Genomic DNA, 25,344 nt, shown 5'->3' on the forward strand with positions numbered 1-25,344 from the left:
TGCATTAAAGTCATATTTATAAAAGCAAAAAATTTGAAACTGAATACCCTTCAAAAAGAGACTAAACTATGGTACATTCATAAAATAAAATCCAATATAGAAAAATGAGACAGAACAATCTCTAAGCTACAAGTGAGATTTGGAAGGTATACTAACTACCATTTAGGCAAAAATAAAACAGGCAAAGAAAATGCGTTGGCCGGGCGTGGTGGCTCACACCTGTAATCCCAACACTTTGGGAGGCCAAGGCACGTGGATCACCTGAGGTCAGGAGTTCAAGACCAGCCTGACCAACCCGGAGAAACCCCGTCTCTACTAAAAATACAAAATTAGCCAGGTATGGTGGCGCATGCCAGTAATTCCAGCTACTCGGGAGGCTGAGGCAGGAGAACTGCTTGAACCCAGAAAGCAGAGGCTGCGGTGAGCCGAGATGGCGCCATTGCACTCCAGCCTGGGCAACAAGAGCGAAACTCCATCTCAAAAAAAAAGAAAATGCATCTATATATGTTCATAGAATATATCATAATAAACAGAGGAAACTGAGGTAAGGAAAACACAAGGTCAGCATGGAAGCCATCTTGTCTGTCACAAGGTAGGGAGGTGATCAAAGACTGATAGGAGATGCTCAAAGAACACAGAAGCCACATTTCAGCATCAAAATCAATAATGGCAGAAATGCTTACTATACATCAAATCAGGAAATTCCATCAAATTTCTTTAAAGGCTCATCTTCACAGAAGAAATATCAAAAATGTAGAAGGAATGACAACAGAAAAAATCAGTTTACAACTACCTTAGTAATAATTCAGTCAAGAATGACCAATGAACAGAGTGCAAACTGCTGAGGACACGATATTCCTAGTCTCAAATATCGCCCCTCAGGCTACTTATTAACTGCAAAGGGGAAAGGGTATCAACTTGACAAGGGAGAAATCCGGCAGACACAACTTCAAATCACCAATAATGGGACAAACTGGTATCAAGTGCCACCTGACATAACGAGGACACCATATCACCTATAAAAAATTCCTGACAAAAATGTTTAACCTGAAACCACCAATGAGACAATCAGACAAATCCAAGTTAAGGAATGTCCTACAAAACAACTTGCCTGGACTCTTCAAATAGGTCACTATCAGGAAGGGCACTGGGGACTGACTATTCTGGATAAAAAGAGACTAAACAGTCACAACATGCTGGGCACGGTGACTCACGCCTGTAATCCCAGCACTTTAGGAGGCTGAGGCGGGCAGATCATGAGGTCAGAAAATCGAGACCATCTTGGCCTACATGGTGAAACCCCATCTCTACTAAAATTACAAACAATTAGCTGGGCATGGTGGTGTGCACCTGTAGTCCTAGTTACTCGGGAGGCTGACTCAAAAGAATTGCTTGAACGTGAGAGGCGGAGATTGCAGTGAGCCAAGATCACGTCACTGCTCTCCAGCCTGGAGACAGAGCAAGACTCCATCTCAAAAGAAAAAAAAAAGTGACAACAACTAAATGCAATGTATGATCCTTTGCTGGATCCTGGACCCAAAACAAAAACAAAAAGGAACTGCATGTGCTGGTGAGAATGTTAAATGGTACAACTGAGTTGGAAACAGTCTGGCAGTTCCTCAAAATGTTAAACAGAGTTACCATATGACCCAGGAATTCCACTCCTAGGTAGATACCCAAGAGAAATGAAAACATATGTCCATGTAAACATATGTTCACTATTGCTCATAGCAGCATTATTCGTAACAGCCCCAAAGTGGAAAGAACCCAAATGTCCAACCATAGATAAACAAAATGTGGTATACCCATTCGATTGAATACTATTCAGATAATAGAGTATCGATTCATGCCACAACATGGATGAGCCTTAAAAACATGACACTGAGAGAAGCCAGTCACGTACATCACACATCATATGATTATATTTATATGAAATGTCCAGGAAAGACAAATCCATAGAGACTGAAAGTAGATGAGTGCTTGCTTTGGGCTAGGAGGTGGGAGTTGGGATGGTGGGAGGGAAGGCAAGTGATTGCTAATGGGTATGGGGTTTCTTTTTAGGGTGATATAAGTGTTCTAAAATTGATTCTCATGGTGGCTGTACAACTCCAAATACAGTAAAAACCAATGAATTGTACACTTGAGGTGAACTGTACAGTATGTAAATTATATCCCAATAAAGCTGTTATTTTTTAAAAACACAACTATGAAGAACTCATTATTAGAACACCTGGGGAAATCTGAAAGTAAACTATGTATTAGATGGTAGTATTGTTATAAATGTTAACTTTATTGAGTCTGACAACTGCATTATGGTTATAAAGGAACACATGTCCTTACTCAGAAGATACCTGCTAAAGTACTATGGCTGATTTATCATAATTCCCTAACAATCTTAAATGACTCAACAAAAAACAGATCTATGTGTGTGTGCATATATGCATTGTGTGTGCCTGTGTGAGAGAACAAGAAAAAGCAAAGGTGCCAATATATTGATAACTGGTGATCTAAGTGAAGGATATACAGGTGTATATTGTACTATGCTTAGTCCTTCTGTAGTCTGAAAATTTTCAAAATAAAAACTTGGAGGAAATACCAGAGAATAAAATTTAGATTTGCAGAGAGAGAGAGAGAGAGATATCACTGCAAGGCTACTATTGAGTATTTTCAAATCACCACATCTTATCCTGAGCAAGAGGTCACTGTTCTGTGCTATGGTAAGATACAAACTATTCCTTCATATATAATAAAATTCCACCTTTTTTCAAAATTAATATAGGGTAAGTGAAGTCTACCAATCATGACAGCAAAGGAAATTAGTGTCTAAATGAACTGTGAGTTACAGGTACCTTTCACTAAGGGGCAGGCAGGTTTTTATAAAAAACCATGTGGTAATCATCAATATGCCATTAAGACTCCTATTACTAGACTTTTAAGAACCATTTTATAAAGATTATCTGGTGCCTAATTAACAAGAAAGAAATTAGACTCAGGTTTAAGATGCTGCTGGTGTTCTGAAATTACTCTGAAAGGTCATTCAAAGAACTTCAAACTTAAAATTTTTCATTCATGTATTTATTCCACAGTCAAAATAAATCAAAATTTAAAGCTATAACATTTTTAAAAGATAAAGGAGAATTTGTGGCACAGCTGCATTAACAAAACAGACACCAGTCTAAAGTGCAACACTAAACAGGTATTCTCTGTTCCCACGGTGGAATAATTACACATAAGATTTCACTAAAGATAGGAGATGAGGCAAATAACCCTTTGAAATTACCTGCCCAACAAATAGAGGCAGGCTACATTAATTTAACATTTTACTGCAAAATGGAAAAAATCCCCGAGGTGACTAACTCAAACTCCTCATTTCATGCACATGACCTTGGCTTCTGTGTTCTTTCCATAGCCACATCCAAATCCAGAAAGGCTCCTGCACCCCATGCTCAAAAATGCAACCTCAAGTCCCTGAGGTCCTCAGCACAGACTGACATTAACAAGCCTGTGTTCAGCCTTCATCCAGAACCTCCAGGGAAATCAGGAGCACAAACACAGAGCAAAGCACCATTTCTTTAAACAATGGCTTTAACTGTCGAATGAGCTCTGACAAGCCATATGCATTTCATAAACAAACCAAAACATCATCTTCATATCTTCCTATTTTTCTTGCAAAAATGTTAAGCCATCCAAGTAAAAAAAAAAATTTTAATTTAACAATGAAAAAGGAACTTCAAAGGGTTTATGCCAAAAAACAAACCAGTCCTCTGCAGCCTAACTCATTTGTTTTTGGGCTGCGAAGCCATGTAGAGGGCGATCAGGCAGTAGATGGTCCCTCCCACAGTCAGCGCCATGGTGGTCCGGTAAAGCATTTGGTCAGGCAGGCCTCGTTTCAGGTAGACGGGCACACCATCAGCTTTCTTGAAAGCAAGAATTAACAAGGGCATGGTTGAGAAGAAAAATATTTTACAATTTTACTCTTAAAAAATAACAAATTTGTCTACTCGGTAAGTAATTCATCAACACATGACAGTGGGAAAAGCACTAATCCATGGAATGCTAGTAGAAGTTCCTATAAATGTAGCTAAAGCTTGTAAATCCAAAGTCATTCTCCAAAATGCTGCCTCAGGAAGCATGCATGCAAAAGATTCCAAATGTCTAAGACATTTATCACATATTGCTTAACTGGAGCATTGGTGCATTTTTTAAAAGGCAAAGGTAATCAGTAGCTAAAAGAAGTGCAGGCAGGAGAGGCTGGGCGCGGTGGCTCACACCTGTAATCCCAGCACTTTGGGAGGCCGAGACAGGCAGATGGCTTGAGCCCAGGAGTTCAAGACCAGCCTGGGCAACATGGCAAAACCCTGTCTCTACAGAATAACTAAAATTAGCCAGGTGTGGTGGTATGCACCTGTAGTCCCATTAGGGACTTCCTATTAGGGAAGCTGAGGTGGGAGGATCGCTTGAGCCCAAGAGGTCAAGGATGCAGTGGGCCATGAGTGTGCCACTACACTCTGGCCTGGGTGACAGAGTAAGGCTCTGTCTTAAAAAAGATAAAAAGAGGTGCTGGCACGAGAAACGTTCTCCATTTAGTTTGGCTTCTGATCATAAGTGGATGGGGTCGGAGTACCTCATGTCAATAGGTTCAAGTCCATTTGGCATTCAACTGCCTTCTTTCCGTCACACTGTTAAACCCATTTAATAATCAAATTCCATGAGATATTTAAATCATCATCTTCATCATCATTTTAGAGACTGGGTCTCACTCTGCTACCCAGGCTAGAATGCAGTGGCTCAATCATAGCTCACTGCAACCTCAAAATCCTGGGCTAAAGTGATCCTCCCGCCTCGGCCTCTGGAGTAGCTGGGGTTACAGACGCGTGCCTATACACTCAGCTAAGTTTTTTTGTAGAGGCAGGGTCTCGTTATGCTGCCCAGGCTGATCAAGCAATCCTCCTACCTTGGCCTCCCAAAGTGTTGGGGCTGCACAAGTGAGCCACCACACCTGGCCTGTTTAACTCATATTTTGCAGTGTCCAAAATCCTTCCCCACCGCACCTTGAGATTCTAAATGCTCTCTCAAACCTTACTTATCAGATAAAAAGAGATTAAACTGATCAAAACAAAAGTGCTCTATCCTCAAGATGGGTCTGGATCTGGACTACTTTTGAGGAGGGGGAAGCTACCTTACAGCAATAGCAGTAGCAAGCACTGCCACTCCCATGGCACCTAAGATTTGGTCAGGTCACTAATTTCTCAATAATTTGCAGGTAGATTCACTTTAAAAACATTTTCAATTCTGATTCTGGATTCTCTACTCATGTGCAAACCCGTAAGCACCTCCTCTACTTTCAGCAATAGCTCAGTGAATTTTAATATCAAGCAAGCAAAAAACAATGAGAAAAAAACCCACTGCCAAGTCATTACATGTGTCACGAAGTCAAATATATATATTGGGTCATTCAGTTATACAGGCTACTCAGTTATTGAGGCTATTGCTTCTTCCATGCAATAAATGATCAAGAGCTATTCATGCCATTTCAAAACCCTCACACCCTTAAATACTAATGAGGAAATTAACCACCCTCCCCTCTTTTATCAGTATCTACCTATATAAAGTTCTATTCGTTTATGGCTCAAACTAAAATCAAGAGAATACTACTTAAAGAAAAAGAAGGAGGGTGGGTAGTAAACTAGATTAAGATTTAGTTTCATAAGGGATTTTTTAAGCCTATTTATTTCACAGGCTTTTCTGTTGTAGAGTATCTTCCCTCACCTGGAAAAACTTTTGTAGCTCTGGAACTTTGTTTTTCCCAGCATAATCATACACTGTGGAATCGGAGGTCAGTTTAGTTGGTGTGGCAAATATGATAGGTGGTGCTTCTGTGGAAACCACAGGCTTTAATCCCTGTAGAGAAAAAAAGGAAAATGGCAAGTTGAAAGTATGTCTGAGGAGGCTGTCTGGAATAGTGGAGGCAGCCATTCAACTACGAGAGAGCAAGAAAGTCTCTCCAACTTTCCCAGAGCAAACCCTGTCAAGAACCCCTTGCCATTACGATTGCAGGGGGCGTGTGAGGGTCAGGGGGACGCCAACAAAGGCCCAATCTGAGCTTCCAGAAATACCTGGTGTGTCTATCTTCTTAGCAACCAGTAAAACATTTATAATCTGTTACGAACTTGTCATTAGCTTTCATGAGGGATCTGTCTGCCATTTTTTTCTTCTAAATGAGCTAATCTAGTAACATGGAATGTCTAACCCCAGAGCAGACTTCAGAAACTTTTCCAGACACACAATAAAGAAATATTCAATGTGGAACAGGCTTACTGGTTTAAAACAAAACTAAACAAACAAACAAACAATACTTGCCTTCCAGGACCAGAAAACAAAATCAAAACAAAAAACTTTTCGAAATGAACTTTTCAGCATAAATAAACACATAAATTGAAAACACATACAGTAAAAATTTAAACAAGGTGAAGGGGAGGAAGTACTGACACATGCTACAACACGGATAAGCCTCTAAAACATTACGCTGAGTCAAAGAAACCAGTCCCAAAGACCACATACTGTATGACGCCATTCACAGCAAAGTCAGAAGAGGGAACCGCAGAGACAGAAGGTAGGTTAATGGTTGCTTCAGGTGGGGGCTTGGGGGCTAGGGAGGTAACAGTTAAAAGGTACATAGGTATCCATTTGAGGTGATTAAAAAAATGCTCTAAAATTAACTGTGGTGGTAGTTGCATATATCTGTGAATACACTAAAAAACCCTAAATTGTACCCTTTAAATGGGCAACTTGTATGCTATGTAAATTATATCTCAATAAAGCTGCTTTAAAAAAAGGTGGGGGGGATCTCTGGTTTTTTTATCTGAAAGGAATAAACCTACAGTGACAAATATATAGAGTAATCCAAAATAACCTGTAAATTAAAATAAGGAGCTAAGAGTTATAAGCCAATAAAAATCCTCCTTTTATGTTAAATTCTAACTAAGAAAAATAAAAATTTAAAGTCAGAAAGCATAATTCAAACCCAGCCTTTTCCTTTTACAGACAAAGAAGGAAACCTCTTGCCCAAATACAGTGATCAGTCCGCTGATTCTTGTCTCAAAGAAATCTAAATTTACCTATAATTGACAGGGCATATTATAAAGATTAGATATTGAAAACCTCAATGCTACTCCCACCAGGCAAGCACTAGATGAACAGGTCAATAAAAAGAAGCATTAAAGTAAACTTGGCTTCTATTTCTTCTGACACAGTACAGTAAATGGGAATGAACCATGGCCTGTTTTCTGTAACGTATTCATTCATTCAACATTTATTACTGATCACTTGCTCTACACTAGAAATACACAATGAATAACATTGCCACAGTCTCAGCCACCATGGATATTAATGTTATAAACCAACAGCAGCTAATATCTATTTAACCCTTGTGAAGTGTCAGTATCATGTCAAACATTTCACATGCATTACTTCACTTAATTCTGACAGCAACCCTATGAAGATATTACTATTCCCATTTTTCAGAGGAAAACACTGGAGAGAGAATAACTTGCCTTTGATCAAATAGTGAAAAGCAAGTCAAGTTTTCAAACTCAGGCCTTTCTCAAGTCCAGAGCCCTGGCTTTTAAGTATTCCACAACTCACACCCCACCCTCCCAATCAACTATTGCTTAAAAACAACAGCCCATTTAAAGAGAAAGTTTGGTCAGTAAGATGTTGGCCTACATTTAGAAATACAACACACTCAAAACAGAGACTCAGAGGAGTCAGAGAGGCAAACAGGGGCTCTACTATCAAGATCAAAAGGCTAACAAGAATCATGGTTTGAACTGGATGGAGAATGTTAGATACTCCTTTATATCATTCTGTGAGCTCACCATATTTTCTCCTTGAAATGCAAAAATTTCTTCTTGAATGCAAAAATGTAAAAACTCTTTCTACCAAGGATCTCCAAAAATGGCTTGAAAGTAAATTCATGTTTCGACAGGACTAATGTGAGAGTATTTTTGAAGGGATTGTATTTGTTTGTCCAAGCATGCAGTGATTCAAAACTACAGCAAAGTTTTTGAACAGTATCATCTGAAAACAGGAATACCAACCATCTTAATTTTAAATTAATTCCGTATTTCCCTTTATAATATTGTAAAAGTTTATAGAATTGAAGTTACCTATAATCTCATTATCTCATCCCATTAATTGTTATAAATTGTAACTTTTCCTCCAATGTTTATTCAGGTTTAATAATTTAACAGTCACAGTGTAAAATCCTACGTTCTTTTTTTTTTTTTTTTTTTTTTTTTTGAGACGGAATCTCGCTCTGTTGCCCTGGCTGGAGTGCAGTGGTGCAATCTCGGCTCACTGCAACCTCTGCCTCTCAGGTTCAAGCCATTCTCCTGTCTCAGCCTCCTGAGTAGTTGGGACTACAGGTGCACGCCACCACGCCCAGCTAATTTTTGTATTTTTCATAGAGACTGGGTTTTGCCATGTTGGCCAGGCTGGTCTCGAACTCCTGACCTCAGGTGATCCACCAACCTTGGCCTCCCAAAGTGCTGGGATTACAGGCGTGAGCCACCACACCCGGCCCATTCTGTTTTTTTTCCTTTTTGAGCTAGGCTCTTGCTTTGTCACTCAGGCTGGAGTGCAGTGGCGTGATCCTGGCTCAGGAGCTATCCTGAAACCTCCCAGGCACAGCCATGTTCCCTCTGCCTAGAATGATCTTCTCCAGGTATCCACGTGGCTTATACCCTCACCTTCTTCAGGTCTTTACCCAACCCCATAAGTCACCTTTTCAGAGAGATCTTTCTGACCACCCTTTTAAAAACTGCATGTCCTCCCCCTTGCCCTACTAACAACTTACCCTCTTTATTTTTCTCCACAGCACTTATCACCACCTAACATACTATGTTTTACTTTGCTTACTGTGTCTCCCCCCACTATAATGGAAGCTCCACAAGCACAGGATTTTGGCACATCTTGTTCACTGCTCCTATATTCCAAGACTTAGAAAAGCAACCGGCAGAGTAAGCGCATTCAGTAAATATAGGCAGAATGTTCAAATAAACTAAAGAAGGCTATAGCTTCACAGTGTAGGTTTGAGTATCTCAGAAACAAAGTCTGATCAACTGGCATTTGATGGCAGGGCATCCACAATTCCCATAGCAATAAGAAAACAACTGAAAGCTGTTCTTATAAAAAGTGGACAGGCTGGGCGTAATGGCTCATGCCTGTGGTCCCACCACTTTGGGAGGCTGAGGTGGGAGAATCACTTGACTCAGGAGTTTGAGATCATCCTGGGCAACGTAGTGAGACCTTGTTTCTACAAAATATCAAAAAATTAGCCAGGTACAGTGGTGCACACCTGTGGTCCCAGCTACTTAGGAGGCTGAGGTGGGAAGATGACTTGAGCCCAGGCGGTCGAGGCTGTAGTGAGCTGTGATCACGCCACTGTACTCCAGCCTGGGCGACAGAGACTCTGTCTCAAAATAAAATTAAAAATAAGTGGCCCATAGATCAAGAAAAATCACATACTTTACTTTTTAATACTGAATCTCTTAGCTGCTTAAATAAGCCCCACCTCCAAAATTAATTACGAGCCATTCAACCTTAACCACGTTTAGTAATTAAGTTCTTCCTAGTTTATTTCAATTGCTCCAAATTTTTAAAGAGAAAAGTAAACATGATTTTCCCTCTAAAAGTTGGTTGTAACATTTTCCTTTTCTTCTACCTCTTAGGTTTGGGGAAGAGGGTGGAGAGAAAAGAGGATCCCCATAATTTTAATTTTTAAATGATAGAAATGTATGAACTTTTCCACTGTGATTTAGGACTGGAGACCAGTTTCAATCTGCAGTGACTCAATTCATTTGGCTTTTTGTTTTGTTTTGTTTATAGATAGATCTTACACTGTCACCCACGCTGGAGTGCAACGCATTGATCACAGCTCACTGCAGCCTCAATCTCCTAGGCTCAAGTGATCCTTCCGCGTCAGCCTCCTGAGTAGCTAGGACTACAAGTACGCTTCACCATACCCAGCTAATTTTTCTTATTTTTTTTTTAGAGACGGGGTCTCACTTTGCTGCCCAGGCTGGTCTCAAACTCCTGGCCTCAAGCAATTCTCCTGCCCTGGCCTCCGGAAACACTGGGATTACCAGTGTGAGCCACCGCACCTGACCTCTATTTATTTCTAACGGTAAGCTAGACATCACCACCTACCTCCATGTCCTTCTGACACCTCACACTCATCATGTCCAAAATTCACTCCTAAGCCCATTCAGGAACACCCTGTCACTGTGAAAAGCACCAATTCACCAATCATGCTGAAGCCCTCCCTCCTCATCCCCAACATCTGTCTCATCTGAAAGGACAAACTACCACAACTCTGCATCAAGTTGCTCTGCAACTTCCTACTAGTGCCTCACAAAATTAAGTCCTTACATACTAGGCCCTTCATGATTTACCTCCATCCTCCACAGTCAAACTTACCTACCCAATGCTTCTCCTCCAGACCCCCTCCCTTCCTTCACTCTCACAGTTCCCTTTACCTAGAATACCATTCTGCCATCTTAATTGGGAGAGGAATTCCTAGATCACACAGTAAAATTACGTTTCCTTTTTTAACAAACTGCCAAACTGTTTTCCAAAGTGGCTGCGTCATTTTACCATTTCCACCACAAATGTAACATGTTTCGTTTCTCTACATCCTCACCAATACTTGTTATCATCTGTCTTTTTGATTCTAGGCATTCTGGTGGATACTAAATGGTACCTCATTGTGGTTGTGATTTGCTCTAATAACTGAAAATGTTAAACATCTTCATGTGCTTATTGGCCTCAATTTATTTTTGACGCAATTCAGAGAAAGGTAAGGAAGATGCCTTTCAACCAATGGAAAATGCCATCCCACCAACTGCTTGCTGTCAAGCTGACTTACAAATCTCTACCTGTGCAATTGTTACAGAACCACCTTTTCCATATTATGTTATTTAGTGCATGGCAAATTATTCACTTTACTTACTACTACAAATTACAAACATCTTCATCGTATGTTTCCAGGAAAGGAAAAAGCTGAAGTACTCCTAATTACCAAAGTCAGAGCACCTAGTTGGGAGGGCACCTGTCACAATCACTCAGAAATTTACAATTCATATAAAGCCTACACAGTATCACTTCTTTTCAACATAGTTTAAGAAATCTTTAAGTAACTAAGAAGTTCAAATTCTCAAGAGAAACACGATTCACGAGGAGAGGTACTAGAAATCTGAAAGCCCTATCTATATCAAACTCATCGCAAGGTAATCTCTGCTGAGCGCCCATTTTATTACAATATGCCAGTTTTTAGTCGAAAAATTTACTTTTTTCTTACTAAGCAACAAAACCTAGATTATGCTGAAGATATATTAAAAGAACATAAACCAAGTGTGGTGGTACACATCTGTAACCCCAGCCACTCAGGGGGCTGAGGTGACAGGACTGCCTGAGCCGGGGAGTTCGAGATCAGGCTGTGCAACACAGCAAGAACCTGTCTCAAAAAATATTTTAAAAAAATAAATAAAAGAACATCTACTACCACCAACAGAATAAACTGTGATATATTTATAAAATGAAATCCCACAGAAGAATAAGAGGATAAAAGGAATTAACTACTGATACGTACAACACGGACTAACCTCAAAAATATTTTTTGAGCAGCCAGACACGGCGGCTCACATCTGTAATTCCAACATTTTCAGAGGCAAAAGCAGGACGATTACTTGAGCTCAGGAGTGAGTCTACAGTGAACTGTGACTGTGCCATTGCACTCCAGCCTGGGTCAGAGCTGGTTCCATTTACATGAAGTTCAAAAAAAGGCAAAACTATCTATTTATGATGATAAAAGTCAGAATAAGAAGGTGGCAGGGATTGACAGAGGGTACAAGGGAACTTCCTGGGATGATGTAACATCTTGCATATTGAGGGAGGTGTGGTTATACAGTACATGGGTTTGTCCAAACTCATCAAACTGTAACATTTAATATCCATACACTGGAGAATACATTTCATAGAAGCAGATGATAGAAATGGCCATTTTCTCACATAATCTGTAAAAGAAGTGCAACACTGCTGACTATTCCTTCCTTACAAGTCATTACCAATTCGGTTTCAGTGAGACCACACTGGTTTCCCTTCTCATCCGGACTATTCTTTAAACACATTCTCCTTCTCCACCCTTCCCTCATGTTTCTATACTCTAACTATAATCCAACCTTTCTTCCCTACAAATTACCACCTATGGGCTGAAGACACCCAAGTTTATTAAACTCCATATTCAAAAATCTAGCTGCTACCAAGCATGACATATCACAAACTCAACATTTATAAACCCTAAACTCTTCCTTCCCGTTCCCACCGCAACTCCCCCACTAACCCCCGAAAAAAAAAAAAAAAACTTGCCCTTCTTATCTGAGATTAGAATCATCTGTTTTTGTTTTTAGAGACAGGGTCTCACTATGTTGCCCCAGGCTGATCTCAAACTCCTGGGCTCAAGCGACCCTCGGCCTCGGCCTTCCAAAGTGCTGTGATTTACAGGCGTGAGCCACGGTACCAGACCTGAAATCTTTCTTAAACATCTGCCTCTTGGGCAAGCTGCAGTGTCCCACAGAAAAAGGAAATGAAGCAACAGTAATGGAGTATCCTTTACACCTCATCTGGGCCCCTCACTACTGCAGTCTAACTGCGTATCTCACCGACACTTCCCACACTTCTCTAGAGGATTAGGAGGGAATATACTATCTCAGACAGCTTCTGGTGAACAGTTAACACTTATCCAGAACCAACCACCTGCCCAAACTGCTAGTCACTTGACACACTTCATTTAATGTGTACTAACGCCGCCCTGGATGAAACTGAGCTCACAATAAATTAAATAACTTGGCCAAGGTCACACAATTAAAGCGGAAAACGCCATGATTTGAAAAGGCACGTCTGGGGCTCTAAAATCCCTCATGTTTACCCCCAACACATGCTGGAGAGTCAAACTCCAATTGGTAGAATCTGCGTGAAATGGAATACTTTTCAGACAACCCAAACAACGAGCATCTGTCAAATATTTTACAATCGGGAAAGTGTAACCTCGCTGCATGCAACTTCCCTCCCTGGACGTGTTAAGTAACCTGTTAAATTTCCCAACCCAGATCATAGCCCCCCAACCCCCTGCACCATGGTTTCTCTAAACGCCTTTATAGCCCCGCGCTCTCTAATCTCGAGCTCAAGTGAGGCTGCCTATGGGGCTCTGGCAGATGACAAACGACAAGGAGGCCGAAAGCCAGATGTCTTCGAATTGAGGGAGAAGGCCGGACCTCTGACTCGGGTCACACTGGGGACCCCCACAAACCATCCCTTTTAGACAAGTGACCCCGGGGGTCACCTTGACCCCTGCAGTGAGCCAGACCAAACTTCCACGCCAGGCCAGCCCCCGCCAGGTGAGCAGGTACACAAAAAGAAGCCTCAGTGACCACCGTACGCTGGTGTGGAGAGGCCCCGGGAGGTGCAAGGAGAACAGAGACGAACTCGACCGCGGGCAGAAGCCTCCCCTGGCTCCAACGCCGCGACTGCCTGTCGCCGAGGCTAGGGCCGCCACTTCTCATGTCCGAGCTGGCCAGGCGCCACTCGTACCTGCGGGCTATAGGCCTCCGAAGCCCATGCTCCTGCCAACTTCTGCGTGAAGCCACTAAACTTGTAGTACATGACGCCCAGAGTCCGGCTTCCCGCATCCGCTGCCAACGCGACCGCCCCAGAGAAGGACCCCGCCTCCCCGGCTGTGGTCCCGAGACTCAGCGCAAGGACCCGGTGCTGGGACTAGGGCTGCCCGAAGATCGCCTAACTTAAAACCTGCACACTTAAGCCGCATTGGGGAACCAAAAGCCAGGGTTCTCAGGACCACGAAAGGCAAAACCAGCTCTAAGAGAGCACGCAAAGTCGCTGTGGCGGAGTCTGTAGGAAATATGAAGTTCCCTCTTTCCCCCATTCAGATTTGGGCAGTGCCACGACAACTCAAGAAATGCGCAAGCGCTCCACGGACTAAGCCCGGCGGACTAAGCCCGGCAGTGTCGGAGTCAGGTGGAGCATGCTTTAGGAGGGGCGGGCTCCAGGCGGGGCCTGGGGGGGAGAGGGCGGTGATTGGTGGGCGTGGTCTGGGTAGGGGCGGGGCTACATCGAAGCCGGTTGGGAATTCCACCATCCGAGAGAGTCTGTGCTGCGGAGCCACCGTCTGGTCGTCGGGTTGAAGGCGTCTCTTGCTTTACCGAACTTTAACTGATCGTAGTCTCATTTATTTCCTTCCGACCTAGAGCACCTCTTATCCAGAAGCCACCACCTGCTGTTGCTCAGTCTGCCCAGGAGTATAGACTTGTCGGCCAAGCTTCCCCTGGCAACCTGGGAGTTGAAGCAAATAAGAAAATTTGGAAGCACCTGCTGAAGGCTGTTTAGTACCCAGGGCTGTTGGGAGATTTGCCCCAATAATATAAAAGTAGCCTCCTGGGCTTTGTGCAGAGGAAATACACATGCAGAGTGATCTAAAGCTCAGGTACCAGGATGTAAATGTCACACGGTTTCTCAGAACTGGTTTTTATTCTCACCTGAGTTTTAAGGTCATTGATTATTCATCCTTTTCCTGGCCTCTGCTCTTTGCGATAAATGAGGTAGGGGGAGGGTGATCAGAAACACTTGTAAAATCTGGACCTTGAGCCTGAAAGATCTGGAACTACCACTTTCAGTTCTGGTAGTATTCGCTTCAGTTCAATTTAAATATGTCTGTTAAGCCTGTGCTGTGTGCAAGGTACTGTGTAAAAGGAGTATACTAGTTTCTTACTCTCCAGGGATGGACTCAGGCTTTTCTTAGCTTCATCATCTAACCATAGGTTTACACAAGCATATTCTAGATGCACTTATGAAATCATGTTGCAAATTGATGGATGATACTAACCTATATATAGCATTGCCCTAAACTCATTTAATCTTCACAACAATCCTATAAGGTAAATGCTATTATCATCTCCATTTTAGAATACAGGAAAATGACGCCTGGAGAAGCTAAGTAACTTGCTCAGGTCAGGGATAAGTGGCAGAGCTAGGCATTTGGCTCAAGACTTCCTACTGTTAAGCACTATGTTACAAATAAATAGATATGAAGCCATTCTGAAAAGAGGAGGATCAAGGCTGAGCATTCCAGGGTGAGGGTGTACACCAGCATCCTGGTTGCAGGCTTACGTTCAAGAGCCCCAAGTATTCAGCACCGCCAATATGTTGTAAAGGTTTCAGCGAATTCATGTAAGCCAGCCCAAAGTTGCCACTTTTACAAAGAGACACTGTGATATAATGGAAAGAACATGCAATTTGGGTTTATGTCCATATTTCTCCAAGGATAAGTGGTTTGGGACTAGTGATTTCCTTTTTTTTTTTTTTTTTTTTAAATTCTTTTTGAAACAGGGTCTCACTCTGTCCCAGGCTGGAGTACAGTGGTGTGATCTCGGCTCATTGCAGCCTTGACTTCCCAGGCTGAGGTGATTCTCCTACCTCAGTCTCCCGGGTAGCTGGAACCACAGATGCGCGCCACCACGCCTGGCTAATTTTTTGTATTTTTAGTAGAGATGGGGTTTCACCATGTTTCCCAGGCTAGTCTCAAACTCCTGGGCTCAAGTGATCTGCCAAACTCAAGACTCCCAAAATGCTGGGATTACAGGCATGAGCCACCGTGCCAGGCCCACCCCATGTTTTGATACTGAATAGATTCAGGAAGATTTTTCTACGACAAAAAGTTCGACTACCTCAAAAGAAAATGATCCATTGACATTAGCCTTCTTGAGTCCCAGGCGCTAGCAAATATTGAGTGAAAGAAAAAGCCTTTCATAGAGTTTAGATTGAAAAGAGAAATTAAATGATTTGGGACAGCTACTGTCTCCATCCCACTGACTTCTGGACATATTTTGGAAGAAGAAACGAAAGAATATTCTCTAACTTTTAGCAGCACTAAGGTGTACCAGCTTCTTTTATAAGGTGCCTGTCAACACTGGTTATTTTCTTAAAGTTCCTGCCATCTGATTTTAGATCCTGCAAGACATAAATTAAGAATCCTGAAAATGTTACAACAGCCAGGCTGTTCAGTGGGAGATAAAATGTCAGTAGCAGAGTGTGGGTTGGGATGTCACATGGAATGGCTGATCATGGGAAGATTTTGTCTCATTTCCCAAATAAAACACAGCACACTCTGACAGTACTAAGGCACCCTATTCTCATTCGTATTTGCATATCCCATCCAACATCAAAGACAATCTTTTTTTATCACGATCCCTTCAGGTTGTTCCCCACATTCTATTCTGAAGGGAAGTGACCACGACTCAGAGTAGAGAAGCTTGCCAATCACCAGGTGAACTGAGTGAGTGCAAATGCCAGTCCAGCTCCTGGTGAATCTGAATGCCGCTGCTTCTCCATTTGTGAGGGGTGTGTGCTAATGGCCTCTGGCAGGCCGCTCTGTGAAAGCGCCTGGGGAATGGATGGAAAACCAACATAAAATTTAAATTGGGTAATACTGAGTAGAGATAGGAACCAACTGTGAAATAGTTGTTAATTTTTTAAATTCTCTCATTTTTTCCAAGCTGACTTTTAAAAAATTGACAGTGATATAAAAAATTAGCCGGGCGTGGTAGCGGGCGCCTGTAGTCCCAGCTACTCGGGAGGCTGAGGCAGGAGAATGGCGTGAACCCGGGAGGCGGAGCTTGCAGTGAGCCGAGATCGCGCCACTGCACTCCAGCCTGGGCGACAGAGCGAGACTCCGTCTCAAAAAAAAAAAAAAAAAAAAATTGACAGTGGGTCTGGCAGAGATAAAAAAACATGTAGGCCTGCAGGAGTTGAGGTCATTGTGGGCTCCCGTTTCTGAAGGATTTTGCCCATTCTACGGTAGTTTCCCTGAGGGAAAATGGAACATACATAGTGCAATGTTATAGTGAAGTGTTACCTTTTCCATTGTTGTTTATGTCTACTCTCTCTTTTTACATTTTCCCAACATTTAAAACTGCTTGATAACCCCAAGAAAAGCATCCCCAGTAAAATACTGGAAAGCAAAATGGAGTGCTAAACTCACTTTATGATATTCAGAATGATGACACCTGCCATGCAATTATTCGGTAATTTTCATGTGGCAGAAATCTCAGCTGTCATCTCTTACTGTTTTTGTCAAATAAAGCCCTATCTGGTGTGGAAATTTTATCTTCCAAGCCTGAAACCTAGATTATATTGATATTGAAAACCAAATCTTTCTTAAAGCATGGTGTTTTCATAGCTAAAGAGCTGAGGGTCTGAATGGCTCATTTCTCACCCAAAGGAGGGGAAATGGCAGCTGGGATTGCAGTTGCCGGGACAGCTTTATTGCGGTACAGGATGAACATATTGACATCAACTCCCTACTCTGACCTTCTCGTTGTTGAATGTCAATACAGTGTGTGAAACTGCCTCACTTTTGCCTGCCTGCTTTTCCTTATGTGCAAGTCAAAAGCACATCCACAGAGAATATGGATTTAACTCAATTTTGACACATCACATTTCATCTCACTGGTTAAGAAAGGCTGAGGTATGACTCATAATTTATTTTAAATCATTTTAAATACACTTAATTATGCATAGAAAAAAGTTGAGATCCAAAACCAGAGTCATGCTATTTTACATTGACATCATCTGTAAAATTACAGTACACACAGTTGTCTTATGCATAGAATGAAAGAATTAGCAGTGGCCTCCAGTTTGGGGGACGGGTGGTGGTTTCTCATCATTGAGGATTCCCACTCTCTACCTCACATACATCTGCAGTGTTGAAATATTTCACAGTGAGCATACATGAGTTCTGTAAGCCCACATACACACACAGAAATACAAAGTCGGTTGGGCACGGTGGCTCACACCTGTAATCCCAGCACTCTGGGAGGCCAAGGCAGGTGGATCACCTGACATCAGGAGTTCGGGACCAGCCTTACAAACATGGTGAAACCCCATCTCTACTACAAATACAAAAATTAGTTGGGCATGGTGGCATGCATCTGTAATCCCAGCTACAGGTGAGGCTGAGTCAGGAGAATTGCTTGAACCCAAGAGGCAGAGGTTGCAGTGAGCCCAGATCATGCCACTGCACTCCAGCCTGGGCGACAAGAACAAAACTCCGTCCCGAAGAAAAAAAAAAAGAAAGAAATTACACAAAGTCCACCAAAAACATACAAATTAGAATTTTAAAAATGCTTTCATGTACTTACACCCCCAAATTACCAGGTAATTTAGAATGTTCTTTAATCACCTCCTGCGTAGATGTGAGGGGCCTCTTAAGTGACAGTGTCCAAGTGTTAGGCCACAGGAAGGGTGACTAAAGGGCCATTCTGCCCATTACAGTTAACACTATAGTGGTTCTTCTTCCTAGCGCTGTTGGAGAAAAGAATGAATGAATGAACAAATGAATAAGAACAAACATATCACCTCCACACATTGCTGGGAGAAATGAGCAACCACTCTGGGTAGTTACTTACATTAGTGCCCAGACAGCCATGGAAATTAGTGATCAAGTGGAAAAGATTAAGAACCATACACCTGGGTCTTAAGGAGGCTAATGTCAATGGATCATTTTCTTTTGAGGTAGTAGAACTTTTTGTCTATAGAAAAGCTACCTGAATCTATTCAGTAACAAAACAAGGGGCGGGCTGGGTGTGGTGGCTCACACCTGTAATCCCAGCACTTTCGGAGGCCAAGACCAGCGGATCACTTGAGTCCAGCAGTACGAGACCAGCCTGGGCAACATGGTGAAACCCCATCTCTAAAATACAAAAATTAGTCGGGCGTGATTGCACACCTGTAGTCCCAGCTACTTGGGAGGCTAAGGTGGGAGGATCACCTGAGCCCAGGAGGTTGAGGCTGCAGTGACCCAAGATCGTGCCATTGCACTGCAGCCTGGGTGACAGAATGAGACCCTGTCTCAAAAAAACAAAAACATAGGGTGCTCTGCTAGCCATTGAAGGTCAGGATGTCCAGATTCCAACCCTGCACTAGATTTATGACCTTTGGCTAGTTCCTTAACATCTCTTAGTCACAAGATAAAATTTTCAGTTTAACAGGGTGATTGCAAAGATTAAATAAGATGGTATGTACTGAAAAAGCTTAAAGAAAATATGTAAATACCTGGAAGTCTATATAGGAAATACATTTTGTAAAAGTAGTAAAACTGGATCTGCAGTCACTGATATTGCCCAAAAATTAATTTAGCATGATGTAAAGCATTAGAGTTTTGAGTCTAGTCTATGTTTGTATAAAGTTAGCTGGTTATAAGAAAAATTATAATCTACAAATCTCTCCATTTCCCCAGCCCCCTTCCCTTTCTCTCTCTCTTGTTCTTCCCTCTTCAGCCTCCCTTCCCCAGAAGTAGTAACTATTAGTTAAGGCTGTGGGACAGTCAGACTAGAGCTGTCAGGTGGATCCTGGTATGAAAACAGCCATCAAAGATAAGGAATCTGTATAAAGCTTGAAGACCAAAGAGAGGAGTTGGGTATCCCACTAAAATACCAGCCAACCTTTTAGCATTGGCATTAAATTTAAAAATCAGATCACTTCCAAGTGCCAAATACATAATTTTACTTGCTTCCCCTTTCTCCTCAGATTCTCAGATGGTGGAGATTTGGCATTTCTTTAAGTTTCTGCTCCATAGAAACTGAAAGTCATGGCCCTAAGATCTGCCTTCTGAAGAGGGTGACAAGTACATAGGCTGTACCTGACTAACCTGGGTCTGGATCCCAGATCTTCCTACTGACAAGCTCAGTTACCTTGAATAAGTTACTTCCCCACTCTGAGTCTCAGAGGTGAAATGATGTTCTAAATCAGAGGATTAGCCACGTATTACCAGGTAGCAAAGGTACCAGCGTGTGTCCACTAGTGCCTAGGCAAGGCCTGCCAAGTGATTCCAAAATGGCTAACTTGGGGAGGAGAGCTGGGGTCTTCTCCCGAGAAATGGACAGGTCTGTAGTCTAGGAAACAAAACCTATAAAGAAAAAAAAAGCTAGGAGGAAGTTATCAATCAGTGAAAAGTATCTAATGGAAGGCAAATCTCCTCCTTAAAAGAAAGGGAACTGGAGAGGGTATGACATTCCCAAAAGCACAACTGAGAAACTTGGAAAGCCCAAGTCAAGGGGCACTGGCCCTGGCCCTGGAACTTCCAGCGACACGCCTGCCGTTAGCATGGCTGTGCCCTCCACTGACCACCGATTGGCACTCTGAGCCAGGGGAGAAATTTGCTGAAAAGCAATTCCAAACAACCCAGGGGTTTCCAGCAAAAGACTTATGCTGAAGCTCAGCTTTCTGACAGCAGGGAGAGCCCAATGCAGACAGGATTGCTGGCGTTTCATTGTATGATCCTCACATCTCTTCCACCCCCAAACTGCAAGGCTACCGTGTCCTCTTCCCTGGCACCACTCCTATACCCTAACAGCCCACAGATGCATATTGGAGAATAACCACATCTATTTTAATTTAAACCATGGCAAAGGTAAAAATCAAATCAAGGTGTTTGTGTTTTCTCCCCCTGGGAAGAAGCAAGCACTCTGTAACACACATAGCCTTGTTTCGGCACAGATGTCAGGAATGCAGAGCCTGTAAATCTGCCCAGGCAGTTCTGTTCTTGAATCATTAAGAACAACCGAGTGGGTGGAACAAGAACATGAAATTGCTGTGTGCACTCATGTTTTGTTTATGGAGCAATCATTTCTAGATGTGTTTTCTTTTTTTTATGAAGAATCTTTTCTATGTTTGCCTTTTAACACCCCACCTTCCTTCCTGTCCCCAGCTCTCCCACACCCACTAAAAAGAAATATTGAGAGCATTACAAAAATCTCTGTGAATTTAAAGAATGGGTTACATTAAATGTCTCTCTAAAGCAATTCCATTTATTTAGTCAAAATAAATGATTTAGTAATATGAATAACACAGGTAACAGTTGAATATCAACAGTGTGTTTGTTTAAAAAGCTCATAACAACTGTTCCCTAATCATAAAAATCACTTTCCTTTTTCCACCATTGTGCAATGAGGACCTTGTTAACCCAGTGAATTGAAAGTTCTTGTGATGCTAATTATCAGCAGTATTTAATTAGTGGCTTATGTATCTGCCACAAGATTCTTCACTTCACTGAGCCTCAGTTTATCTATAAAATGGGAATGATATCTACTTTGTGAGGATTGAGTTTATTCATATGAATGCCTAGGACACAGTAAGCACTCATTAAACTGCAGCAGTTACTGTTATTACTAGTAGTTGCAGCAACTGAGCAGACTGGATGGAGTAGGATTTTGCCAAATCTTATCAATCCTCTTCTCCAGTAGACCCCAACCTTGGCACATAGCAAGCACCCAGTAAATGGTAGCTCTTAGACTTACCAAGTCAATAACAACTCCAGTTAGTGCCCCAGGCTTCTCACATCCCCAGCAGTTTCCGTCCATCTCCCGACCTCCCTGGCTGCTTTCCCCACCGCTCCCAGAAGGGAAGTGTGTGGTAGCTCTGCTGCTGTGTTTACCATTCTGGGCGGGTCTCACTTTATTGTGTTTTCTCCCACTGTTTTTGGCTTCCCTGCATTGTCCTGCCTGGCACACGCCCCAGCCATGTTCTCTGTGGCCTATCACCGTGATGTCCTCCTGTTTTGGGCATCTGCTTGCTGCTACAGGCAGAACATGGTGGCATCAGGTGGCTTTAAAAGAGGGAGAGATTGCATTAAATTTTTTCTCAGGAAAATGAGCTTGGTTTAAAAAAAAAAAAAAAAGTGTTCCATGGAACAGATCTAATAACTTAGCTCCCTAATAATTTTTCCTCTGCTTGCTTTAATTGCAAAGGATTCTTCCACAAACAGTGGAGTATTATTGCTTTTCAGTAGGCTAATGAGACTGCCTGTACACAGTGTTTTTCAGGCTTTACCCCCAACACGAAAAGGCACCAAGGAAACTTCCCCAGCAAGGACAGGGCTGGTCCTAGAGAAGACCTAGGAGACTCAGTGGGTGCCATGGGCCTTCAAATCATGCTTTCCCCAGGAGGGTCTTACAAGTCTCCACAAGAGGCACTTTGCCTTTTGTTCTGAAAGCCTGCCCAGCCAGCACTTAGTGTCCAGGACAAGGTCTTAACCACAGCAATCCAAACCAGGTTACCAGGCCTACTTTCTTCAGGCTCTGGGACTGCCAGGGGCTGTCCATCTCCAGCTAAGCACACTCTAGGAGCTGATCAAATTAGAGAGCTGGGGGAGGGGTGGTATAGACTCTTCTAAGAGAGCTGTAATGCTGTCAATCAACTAGCACTTAATTTCCGGTGGGTTGTAAAAGTGCCATGTATCCTGCAAGCTTCAGGGTGAGTAGCCCGGTAGGATTCTAAGTTAAATGATGCGAGAAGAATAACTCTTGGTGAGGATTTTGCACCTCAGAATTAAAAACAAAGCAAAAAAGACCAAACCTATATTGATTGCAAATATTGTGGGAAGGAATTTCTTTCCAATCTATTTCCATTAAATTCCCTTGATGACATCACATGTCACCTGAGTTGACAGCCACTGGAGGCCTGCAACTGTTCAGCACCCATCATGGGCACAAATGGAACTTTGCTACCATGCCCTTATGGGGCTGGGCCTCTGCAGGCTGCTCAGTTTTGACACTGTCGTGCCCGTAAGGGGATGGTCCCCAGGGAAAATGGATAGAGTCAGCTGAAAAGGTAATGGGGTGGATGGAACTGGGGCAGTTAGGAGGGGACAGCAGCAGTGGCCCTGGAACAGTGAGGCAGTTGGTGGAAGGAGGCCGGAGGCTGGTCTGCTGCCATCAGACATTTATACCATCTCCTGGCCTTGCAGAACTCTGATTCAGAAAATCATGGGGTGGCCGGGTACGGTGGCTCACGCCTGTAATCCCAGCACTTTGGGAGGCTGAGGCGGGTGGATCATGAGGTCAGGAGATAGAAACCATCCTGGCTAACACGGTGAAACCCCGTCTCTACTAAAAGTACAAAAAATTAGCTGGGTGTGGTGGCGGGCACCTGTAGTCCCAGCTACTCAGCAGGCTGAGGCAGGAGAATCATTTGAACCCAGGAGGCAGAGGTTGAAGTGAGCCGAGATCGCGCCACTGCGCTCCAGTCTGGGCAACAGAGCGAGACGCCATCTCAAAAAAAAAGAAAAAGAAAAAAAAGAAAATCATGGGGAACTTTTCATTTCTAAGAAAGGCCATGAAATAAAGAAACAACATCATGTAACCCTGTAGAAGGAGCATTGGTGTTAAATTCCTTACAGGATGCAAAAATGCTGTTCAATAAGTTTTACCAAAAATGCACAGTTAAATTCAACAATAAAAGTAGATGAGCAGTGCTGTCCAATAGAATGTTCTCTGATGATGGTCATGTTCTGTGCCTGTGCTGGCCGGTATGGTGGCCACCATCCACATGTGGCTACTGAGCCTTTGGAATGTGTCTAGTGCAACTGAAGAACTGAATTTTTAATTTAATTTTAACATAGCCACATACAGCTAGTGGCTATATTGGATAACACAGGTGTAAGGAGATTAAGGTGTGAAGGAGAAAGCCAGTGTAAGAGCAGCCTTCCTATTTGTCCAAGTCCCGAAAGAAGGAGATCCAGGCTGGGTGCAGTGACTCACGCCTGTAATCCCAGCACTTTGGGAGGCTGAGGCAGGAGGATTTCTTGAGCCCAGGAGTTTAAGACCAGCCTGGGCAACATAGCGAGACCGCGTCTCTGCAAAAACCTTAAAAAATTAGTCAAGTGTGGTGGCACGTACCTGTAGTCTCAGCTACTTGGGAGGCTGAAGTGAGAGGATTACTTGAGCCTGGGAGGCAGAAGTTGCAGTGAGCCAAGATTACACCACTGCACTCCAGCCTGGGGAACACAAGACCCTGTCTCAAAAAAAAAAAAAAATAAAATAAGGCCAAAAACAAAAAAAAAGAAGAAGAAGGAACTCCACCTTATTTGCTAATGAGTTCAGACTACAGGAGTAAAATAATTTCAATTTGTTTTGAAAAGTGCTTTATTTCCTGTCTAAATGTTGAACCATAATAGCTTCTCTTTTTTATAATTTCAGTGGGGAAAATACCATTATATGCTTCTGGAGATTAGAAGTACCATCCTCAGCATGTGCCCACCATTAATAGCTTCATCTTTTAGCCACATAGGGTTTTTGCCTCTGTAGGCTTCTAACATATTACGGTTTTTATAGCCAGAGGCATAGGCAAGTTCTTCTATTGCTAATGACAGGTCCGTTTCTCACCCTAATTTAGGCAACCACTCTATCCAACAGTTCACTGCATTTCAACATTTCTGATTTGTGACGTGGCGACTTATTCCTCTGAGAAATGTTTCGCATGCTGCTGCTTGTTCAGCAACCAGTTCATATTCGCAGATCTGAGCGCCATCCCTGGGCCTGGGTGAATCCCCTGAAGATAAAGTGGCCTCTGTCCTGAGACGGTGGGCACCAGGGAAGGAGCAGTACACAAGTCTTTCTGGCTGCCCACTCACAGCCCAATCTCCCAGCAAGCCCCGCGGAGCAGGCCCTGAAGCCCTGGTCTCACCCCTTGCAAGGGGCAAAGGTCAAGCCAAGGGGTCACAGGTAAGGGGAAGCAAAGTGTTTTTAAGCAGGGCACAGGTGGGCAGCAGCAGACCAAGCTCTGGGAAGAAGGGGAGGAAGAGGGAGATGAGACTTTTCAGGTTAAGAACAAACAAGGGAAAGATTCAGTAAGCAGGCAGCTGGGAGCCACATGTCTGGGCCAAACAACAAGCTTTTAAAAATCCATAAAGGGCAAGCACTGCATAACAGCGCTCTCTGATGTCAGAGTTCTGCCCTGGCCTTGTGAAAAGCACCAAGGACTCACCCTGCAGCAGCCAGTCCCTAAATAGTGGGGTGGGGGCTGGTATATCCCAGGCAGCTGGAGGGTGCACAGAGCAGATGCACCAGACCAGGCTCTGCAGGCCTGGACAGGCAGCTCAGCCAGGCCTGCTTCATTGATATAGGCTCCTAATGAGCAGGATAAACACCATTTGGGGCCATTTGCTGTGAAATGGGCTGGGGTGTATGAGAAATTAGCCTTGTATGGGCATAAAACACACATATCAGCAGAAAATAATGTGCTGGAAAAGTTTAAATTGAAGACATGCCATTCTGAGTGTGCAGAGGCGTTAATGCTTATGTAATTAATCATTTCATATGTGAAGATTGGGATTTTTTTTCCCTTTTAATTAATTAGCCAGTAGACTCATTATAGTACATTTTTCATGTCAAAAAGGCAGTGGGTTCTAAGAAAAGGGAGGGGGGCTGTAGGGGAGAA

The 25,344-nt window shown here is 42.9% G+C and overlaps 1 protein-coding gene across 8 annotated transcripts in view, besides 9 other annotated features; it reads right to left on the reverse strand.

Annotated features, from left to right (window-relative positions):
- COX7A2L (cytochrome c oxidase subunit 7A2 like) overlaps positions 1–21,515 on the reverse strand; it is a 33,399-nt gene extending 11,884 nt beyond the window's left edge. Inside the window, exons 1-5 of one of the 8 annotated variants that reach the window (XM_047446291.1) lie at positions 21,426–21,515; positions 18,311–18,432; positions 13,648–17,826; positions 5,770–5,901; positions 1,896–3,917 (exon numbers count right to left, since the gene is read on the reverse strand). In XM_047446291.1, coding sequence (XP_047302247.1) covers positions 3,777–3,917; positions 5,770–5,901; positions 13,648–13,719 — 345 coding nt within the window. In that variant the 5' untranslated portion in view covers positions 13,720–17,826; positions 18,311–18,432; positions 21,426–21,515 and the 3' untranslated portion in view covers positions 1,896–3,776. Of the gene's footprint in view, positions 1–1,895; positions 3,918–5,769; positions 5,902–11,663; positions 12,597–13,495; positions 17,827–18,310; positions 18,433–21,425 lie in introns of those variants that run through there. The other 7 variants (NM_001319036.1, NR_134947.2, NR_134948.2 and 4 more) reach the window with 7 other exon arrangements.
- Positions 12,184–12,263: an enhancer, noted in NCBI's record as "active region_15645". NCBI's record gives its function as "activates an Ori minimal core promoter by ATAC-STARR-seq in GM12878 lymphoblastoid cells {active_cell/tissue: GM12878}" and the evidence as "EXISTENCE:reporter gene assay evidence [ECO:0000049][PMID:35858748]".
- Positions 12,948–13,692: an enhancer, noted in NCBI's record as "H3K27ac hESC enhancer chr2:42587530-42588274 (GRCh37/hg19 assembly coordinates)". NCBI's record gives its function as "activates a minimal SCP1, AML or CMV promoter by ChIP-STARR-seq in naive H9 embryonic stem cells {active_cell/tissue: H9 hESC(naive)}" and the evidence as "EXISTENCE:reporter gene assay evidence [ECO:0000049][PMID:30033119]".
- Positions 12,948–14,436: a biological region, named in NCBI's record as "H3K27ac hESC enhancers GRCh37_chr2:42587530-42588274 and GRCh37_chr2:42588275-42589018".
- Positions 13,466–13,785: an enhancer, noted in NCBI's record as "active region_15646". NCBI's record gives its function as "activates an Ori minimal core promoter by ATAC-STARR-seq in GM12878 lymphoblastoid cells {active_cell/tissue: GM12878}" and the evidence as "EXISTENCE:reporter gene assay evidence [ECO:0000049][PMID:35858748]".
- Positions 13,693–14,436: an enhancer, noted in NCBI's record as "H3K27ac hESC enhancer chr2:42588275-42589018 (GRCh37/hg19 assembly coordinates)". NCBI's record gives its function as "activates a minimal SCP1, AML or CMV promoter by ChIP-STARR-seq in naive H9 embryonic stem cells {active_cell/tissue: H9 hESC(naive)}" and the evidence as "EXISTENCE:reporter gene assay evidence [ECO:0000049][PMID:30033119]".
- Positions 13,806–13,865: an enhancer, noted in NCBI's record as "active region_15647". NCBI's record gives its function as "activates an Ori minimal core promoter by ATAC-STARR-seq in GM12878 lymphoblastoid cells {active_cell/tissue: GM12878}" and the evidence as "EXISTENCE:reporter gene assay evidence [ECO:0000049][PMID:35858748]".
- Positions 14,066–14,235: a silencer, noted in NCBI's record as "silent region_11403". NCBI's record gives its function as "represses an Ori minimal core promoter by ATAC-STARR-seq in GM12878 lymphoblastoid cells {active_cell/tissue: GM12878}" and the evidence as "EXISTENCE:reporter gene assay evidence [ECO:0000049][PMID:35858748]".
- Positions 14,426–14,515: an enhancer, noted in NCBI's record as "active region_15648". NCBI's record gives its function as "activates an Ori minimal core promoter by ATAC-STARR-seq in GM12878 lymphoblastoid cells {active_cell/tissue: GM12878}" and the evidence as "EXISTENCE:reporter gene assay evidence [ECO:0000049][PMID:35858748]".
- Positions 22,489–22,990: an enhancer, noted in NCBI's record as "H3K27ac hESC enhancer chr2:42597071-42597572 (GRCh37/hg19 assembly coordinates)". NCBI's record gives its function as "activates a minimal SCP1, AML or CMV promoter by ChIP-STARR-seq in naive H9 embryonic stem cells {active_cell/tissue: H9 hESC(naive)}" and the evidence as "EXISTENCE:reporter gene assay evidence [ECO:0000049][PMID:30033119]".

The sequence above is a fragment of the Homo sapiens genome, chromosome 2 (genome assembly GCF_000001405.40).
Source record: "Homo sapiens chromosome 2, GRCh38.p14 Primary Assembly".
Taxonomy (NCBI): Eukaryota; Metazoa; Chordata; class Mammalia; order Primates; family Hominidae; genus Homo; species Homo sapiens.